This window comes from Homo sapiens, chromosome 2 (genome assembly GCF_000001405.40).
Source record: "Homo sapiens chromosome 2, GRCh38.p14 Primary Assembly".
NCBI classification, from domain to species: domain Eukaryota; kingdom Metazoa; phylum Chordata; class Mammalia; order Primates; family Hominidae; genus Homo; species Homo sapiens.
The window spans coordinates 10,846,569-10,854,198 of record NC_000002.12 but is presented as its reverse complement, the minus strand read 5'-3'; the positions used below and the strand labels follow the sequence as shown (position 1 = coordinate 10,854,198).

The following is a 7,630-nucleotide window of genomic DNA, read 5'->3' as shown; positions in this document are numbered from 1 at the left end:
AAAAAACCCGTCTCTACTAAAAATACAAAATTAGCCAGCGTGATGGCGCATGCCTGTAATCCCAGCTACTCGGGATACTGAGTCCAGAGAATCACTTGAACCCGGGAGGCAGAGGTTGTGGTGAGCCGAGATCATGCCATTGCACTCCAACATGGGCAACAAGAGTGAAAGTCCATCTCAAAAAAAAAAAAAAAAAAAAAGGTAGGCAAGAAGGCATTTCTAAGTTCCACTCTGGTCCCCGTTCTGCAAGGCTTGGTGCAGCCATTGCCTGGCCCTTCAGGACAGGCAGCTGCTCCTGGTGTCTGAAATAATGTCACGGCAATCCATGATTCCTGCCAGGGTGAGGATTTGATAAAAACAGGTGAGGACAGAGCATTCAACCCCAGTCACTCACCCACAGACACCCACAGCCCTGGGATCTGAGGAGACCGGCTCTGCCCAAGACTGCTTTTCCCTGGGGGGTTGGTGGTACAACTCTGAAGAATGCAGTTGCCAGGTGAAGAGACAAAAATCCAGTGAATCTGAGATCTGGAGGTCTTCAACCTAGGGTCCATTTCTCTCCTTCCATTAAACGCAGGGATGGACATGGGCATGGCCTTTGACCCTTCCCAAGAACACATTTCCAGAGGGAGTAACCAAAACCCCATTCTCATGGGGTTCTGAGCTCATAGGCCAATGTAACCAGATTCCTGAGGACAACTACCATGAAACAAAGCCAGCTAGGTAAGCATCATTTCGTGTCTGAAGCAGAAATATTGGAAGAGGAGGACAAAAATTTTAAAGAGCATAGTAGTATATATACATAAGATAAAGAAAGAAATGGCAAAAATTATTTGCAAGAATGAGAAAATATTTTCTTAAAAAAAGAGAAAGGGCAAAGGATTTGAATAGACATTTCTCCAAGGAAAATACACAGGTAGCCAATAAGCACATGAAAAAATGCTCAAGATCCTTAGTCATTAGGGATACACACATCAAACCCACAATGAAATACAATTTCACACTCACTAGAATGGCTATTATAGAAAACAACCACAACAACAACAACAGAACATAGCAAGTGTTGGTGAGGATGTTGAGACATTAGAACCCTTGTGCATAACTGGTGGAAATATAAAATGGTATAGCCATGTGAAAAATAGTATGACAGTTCCTCAAAAACTTGAACATAAAATTACCATTTCACCCAGCAATTCCACTTCTGGGTATATATTCTCAAAAGAACTGAAGGGACTTGAACAGATATTTGTACACCCATGTGATAGCAGCATTATTCACAATAAGGAATATTGTTTTCACCAAAGGGTGGAAACAACCTATGTGTCCATCAGTGAATGAATGGATAAGCAAGTTGTGCTATATACACACAATGAAAAATCACTCAGCCTATTGCCATGATCTGTTTCTATTCCCGACACTTATGACACCAAATGAATGGGTTTTTTTCCACATCAACCACCAATTCTCTAACTCTCCAGAAACCAACTGGATATACAATGACTCAATTCAATTCTGACACTATTTTCTGGAGTTAGCATCAGACAGGCTATGGGCTCAGTCCCACAAGACTGCTCCCACTTCAGACACCAATCCCAAGGGTGGGCCTCCTGTACTTATGACCAACAAGCTGTAAATCAGTGGTCCTCACAATGCCCTCCTCTGGTTCAATAATCTGCTAGAAGAGGTCACAGAACTCAGGAAGGCACATACCTACTATTACCACCTTCTCATAAAGGATATGACTCAAAAGCAGCTAAATGGAAGAGATGCACAGAGCATGGTATCCGGGAAGGGGGAGAAGCTTCCACGCCTTCTCTGAGTGGATTCCCTTCCCAGTACCTCAATGTGTTCACCAACTCAGAATCTCGCTGAACCCCATTGTTTAGGATTTTCATGGAGGTTCCGTTATGAAGGTATGACTGATTAAATCGTTGGTTCTAGGTGACTGATTAATTTCCAGTCCCTCTCTCCTCTCTGGAGATTGGGGATTGAAGCTGAAAGTTCCAACCCTCTAGTAATACCTTGGTCTTTCTGGAGGCCAGCCCTCCTCCTAAAGGTATCTAGGGGCGCCCATCCACCAATCATCTCATTAGCCTACAGAAAGACACTCATCTGGTGATACAAGGGCCTTAGATGCTCTTACGTCAGGAACCAAAGACTAAGACCAAATATCCTAACAAAAGATCTTTCTATCACCCCATCAGTCAGGAAATTGCAAGGGTTTTAGGAGCTCGCTGCCAGGACATAAACCAAGTATGTATGTATATAATATCACAATATCACACAGTCTTAAAAAGAAAGAAATCCTGATGCATGCGCCCACATGAATGAACCTTGAAAACATGCTAAGTGAAGAGAGCCAGTCACAAAAGAATAAGTACTGAATGATTCCACTTGTATGAGGTACCTAAGGCAGTCAGATTCAAAAGGACAGATGATACAACGGTGATTGCCAGGGGCTGGAGGGAAGGAGGAGTGGTGAGTTATTGTTTAATGGACATAGAGTTTCAGTTTGGGATAATGAAAGAGTTCTGGAGAGGAAGGTGGTGATAGTTGCACGATGTGAATATCCTTACTGCTATAAGGGAGGGAAAAATGCTTTCCTCTACTGTCTTACATTCTATAGTGAGGGTCTGTGAATTAAGCTGAAAAAAGACAGATTAACAGGGGGAAAGGCATATAGATTTTACTTGATGTAATTTTCATTTTCATGTGCACATGGAGGCCTTCACAGAAAAGAAATGAGGATCCAAAGAGACAGGTAGACCTGAGGGCTTATATGCCGCTGTAACTGTGCACCCAAAAGTATCCGAGACAGATCTCAATCAATTTAGAAAGTTTATTTTGCCAAGGTTAAGGCTGTGCCCTGACACAGTCTCAGGAGGTCCTCAAGACATGTGCCCAAGATGGTGATGGTAGGGGCACAGCTTGCTTTTTTTTTTTGGAGACTGAGCCTCACTCTATCGCCCAGGCTGGAGTGCAGTAGCACGATCTTGGCTTACTGCAACCTCCGCCTCCCAGGTTCAAGCAATTCTCATGCCTCAGCCTCTTGAGTAGCTGGGACTACAGGTGTGCACCACCACACCCAGCTAATTTATTTGTATTTTTAGTAGAGATGGGGTTTCGCCATGTTGGCCAGGCTGGTCTTGAACTCCTGACCTCAAGTGATCCACCTGCCTCAGCCTCCCAAAGTGCTGGGGTTACAGGCGTGAGCCACCACGCCCAGCCCAGCTTGCTTTAACACCTTTTAGGGAGACATGACACATCAGTCAATACGTGTAAGATATTCATTGGTTTGGCCCGGAAAGGCAGGACAACTAGAAGCAAGGGGCTTCCAGGTCATAAGCAGACAACAGACAAAGGTCGCATTGTTTTTTGTTGTCACCTTGTTTTGCTTTTGAGACAGGGTCTGGCTGTGTCACCCAGGCTGGAGTGCAGTGGTGTGATTGTGGCTCACTGCAGCGTTGACCTCCCAGGCTAAAGCGATCCTACCTCTTCAACCTCCTGAGTAGCTGGGATTACAGGCACCTGCCACCATGCCAGGCTAATTTTTTGTATTTTTAGTAGAGACAGGGTTTTGCCATGTCGCTCAAGGTGGTCTCAAACTTCTGGACTCAAGTGATCCACCTACCTCAGCCTCCCAAAGTGCTGGGATTACAGGCCTGAGCCACTGCGCTCGGCCAGTTACATTATTTTGAGTCCTTGATTAGCCTTTCACTGAATACACAGTTTACTCTGGCTCAGGGAATCTGCAGTTTCACATAAACAACAGGGCAGAGGAAGCAACAGATAGGCATTTGTCTCAGGTAAGCAGAGGGATAACTTTCTGTCCCACACCTGTGAAGGCGAGCTAACAGTTTACATTGCCAGGGTGAAATTCAACAGAACTGTTTTAGGGTAAAGATCTTGAGCCCCACAAGGAATTCCCCTGTGGGCAAATTGTGAGGGAGGCATGTAGGTTTTTTATCTTTGTAGCTATCTTATTTAGGAATAAAATGGGAGGCAGGTTTGCCTGACATAGTTCCCAGCTTGACTTATCTTTTGGCTTAGTGATTTGGGGATCCCGAGATGTTTTTCCTTTCACAATAACAAAAGGTAATAATTTGTAGAGAAACGGCAAGACAAAAGACAAGGCATTTGGGTTCCTAGAGGCAGCAAATTGTGATAAGGTAAATATGTGGGGGGAATCTTGTGGGAGATAAAGGTTATTGAGCGGCCGGGGGCGGTGGCTCACAGCTGTCATCTCAGCACTTTGGGAGGCTGAGGCAGGCAGATCACCTGAGGTCAGGAGTTTGAGACCAGCCTGGCCAACATAGTGAAAACCTGTCTCCACTAAAAATACAAAAATTAGCCTGGCATGGTGGCACGTGCCTGTAGACCCAGCTACTCGGGAGGCTGAGGCAGGAGAATCACTTGAACCCAGGAGGCAGAGGTTGCAGTGAGCCAAGATCAGGCCACTGCACTCCAGCCTGGGTGAGAGAGTGAGACTCTGTCTCAAAAAAAAAAAGACTTTGGGGAACTGTTGGGAAGACACGACTGTATTTGAAATCTGAGAAGGACATGAGATTTGGGAGTGGCCAGGAACAGAATGATATTGTTTGGGTCTGTGTGTCGGCCCAAATCTCATGTCGAATTGTAATCCCCAGTGTTGGAGAAGGGGCCGGGTGGGAGGTGATTGGCTCATGCGGGTGGACTTTCCCCTTGCTGTTCTCGTGATAGTGAGTGAGTTCTCATGAGATCTGGCTGTTTAAAAGTGCGTAGCACCCCACCCCCCACCCTCTTCCTCCTGCTCCAGCCTTGTAGGATGTGCCTGCTTCCCCTTTGCCTCCCGCCATGATTGAAAGTTTCCTGAGGCCTCCCCAGCAATGCTCCCTGTACAGTCCATGGAACCATGAGCCAATTAAACCTATTTTTTTTATAAATTACCCAGTCTCAGGTAGTTCTTTATAGCAATGTGAGAACAGACTAATACACCATCATAAAAAAGCTTGAAAAAAAATTCAAAAGATGTATCATCCAACTTCTACCACCCACAAGTCACTTCCTGGGGCTGAAGAGTAAGGCAGGGAACCCTGACATTGACATATTGCTTACAATATATGTTTCCTAAGCTTTAACTCTTTGTATTCTTATAAGAAGTCAAGGCAGCCGTGAAGTATCATTCCCCTTTCATAAGGGAACTCCGAGGGATCAGGAGGGAAGTGACTTGCCTGAGATCACACAGGCCGGGTAGGAGGCTGGGCCCGGAGCCCAGGGATCTTGAATGGAGACTGGGGTCACCCCACAGTACCTGCCACTGTTGCCACAGTCTCAAAGCCACAGGAACAGCCCCTGCATGGTAGGACGTATGTGTCTCACAGTACTCTTCTAAGACTCTAAGGAGGAAATTCTAACCCAGCGATTAGCAGTGATTGGAGTTAATTGCATGTTAGTTACCATGGTTATGTCTAACTTAGTTCTCCCTTGAGCCTCCAACAGGAACACGGAAGACTGTTCTCAGGCTAATGCAGTGGGAAGAAAACACCCTGAGCAGGGTCACAATTGTTCTCTGGGCTTTGTTTGCAGAACCTGTTGATGATCTCCAGTTTCCAGAAGTATTCTACATGGAAATAGTTACCAATGTGCAAAAGGAGCACCATTTTCTGGCATCCCGAGCCACAAACCAGGTGTCTGGAGGTGTTGCTTTGTAAGGAAAAAGCCAGCAGCCATCTGGCTTCCTCTCCAGAGCCAATGTAAGGGAGTTGTTTTAAGGATTGAGGATACAGGACCTTGTAACAAGCTTACAACAGTATTTGGCTCTCAGTAAATACCCAATACCTTCATTAACATTACATTTCACATATCTCCACAGAACTTATTTTAAGCAGTGTCTTCATTTCTTGTTTAAAATAGAATTTAATTGCAGGCCTCTTGTCTTTGATTCTCCAGAATCTTATTCATCCAGACAGAAGAGGAGAACAAGCCTCGGAGCACCCCCAGGAGCTCTCCTGAAGCCGCCAGGAATGGAGGAGCTCGCTTGGAATCAGAGGCCCGTGTTCCCAACCCAGGGCTGCCCCTGCTGGAGATGTGACCTCGGGCAGGCACACTGGGAAGCCTCTGGAAGCCCAGGCCTGCACGCGTGAAAGGGTGAGCTGTACCCCTGGGTCAGAGCGCGAGTTCCTTGTGTGTGTCTTGGTGGGAGGTCAGTGGTTGTAGGCCCTGAATGTTGACTGAGTCATCAGACAGAGCCGGCCTGGTCTCAGGTCCCAGAGTGCAGCTTCTGTGATGCTTCAACATCAGGGCTGAAGACCCTCCGGCACCCACAGGAGGATCTGCTGCATCAGCCCAGGTGCCAGCCAGGGAAGGCTCTTGCAGAACTGGAGGCATCCACAGGCTGTCTTCCGCACCTGAACAAGGCCCTCGTGGGGGGACTCCGCTGGCTCCGCCACTGCCTCTCCATCCTTGAGTGACTTCCTAAGCCCACACCCAGGCTTCCAGGGCTCCTCTGAGAGCCCCCTGAATGCAGGCGAGCTCCTCTAGTCACCCCTCTCTCTTGCCCTTCTTTATTCCTCCATGCCAGTTTACTCGCTCCCCAAAACAAATCTTACCCTTTCACAGTTGACCTTAGTGGCCCTTGAGTCCAGAGCCACTGAAATTCTGTATCGGTTCCTCTTCCCTCCAGGACAAGGAGAGCTTAACTTCCTATGTTATGAGGCAGGGGATAATTACATGCCATCCTTCCAGCAGAGCAAAGAAAATGATTTAAAAAAAAAAAGTTTCACATTAAAACAGGCAGAACATTTCTATTCTGCCAATATTTTAATCCATTGACTTTTTTTTAAGCGCCTACTGTATGCCTGCTCAACGAGCTGGGCTCTGATAAGCGAGCTCAACCCCTCCCTGAGTGCGCTGGGAAGAGTGCCACCCAGTAAGGGAGCTCTGAGCAGTTAGGGTGGCAGCCAGTGGTGTGGACACGTGGGGCCCAGGCCAGCAGCCCAGGATCAGACACTCACATGTCCTCAGGAAGTCACTGGGTATCAGGCCTTGGGCTGGGCAGAAGTGGGACTAGAGACAGAGCAGGGTGTCCTACGAGGAAGCTGGCAGCAGGAGGACCTCAGGGCAGTCCGGACCAGCTCATGCTTGGGGGCTGCTTCAGGGGAGCCTTTTGGCTGGGCCAAGGGGGCTGGCTAGGAGGACTTGGACAGAAGGATGGGTCCAAAGGGCTCTGGGGTTCAAGAGAGCACCACTGAGGGAACCGCCCAACCTCACTCAGAGACCAGATCACGCCCAGCTATTGGGGGGATGGTAGAACAGAACAAATGCCATGCACGGAGTGCCAAGGGCTCCCCATGAGTGTGCAGGATTCCCAGAAGGGTCCTGAATGGGAATGGCAGCATTGGAGGAAGAAGCCTAATAAGACCTCCTCCAATTTTCTGTGCATCCATAAAAGCTGCTCCAGTCAGCCACCACTGACGGGCAGGATCCAAAGAGCGGGGAAAGGAATGCATTGTTCACATATTCTCTGGAGAACAAATAATCCCACAGTGATTCTGAAGAACAGTCAGCGATGTTTGATTTAAGAGTGGCAAGGTACAACTCACAGCTCATTTTCCCTGCGGGGACGCTGCTCTTAATCCTCTTCCCCCTCATG

General features: G+C 47.4%; 1 long non-coding RNA gene across 1 annotated transcript; it reads left to right on the top strand.

Annotated features, from left to right (window-relative positions):
• The first annotated feature begins 1,768 nt into the window (after positions 1-1,768).
• LOC124905973 (uncharacterized) lies at positions 1,769-6,802 on the top strand. Its single transcript, XR_007086215.1, has 3 exons — positions 1,769-1,913; positions 5,929-6,126; positions 6,280-6,802. It is a non-coding gene; the product is annotated as an uncharacterized LOC124905973 (long non-coding RNA).
• Positions 6,803-7,630: the final 828 nt, after the last annotated feature.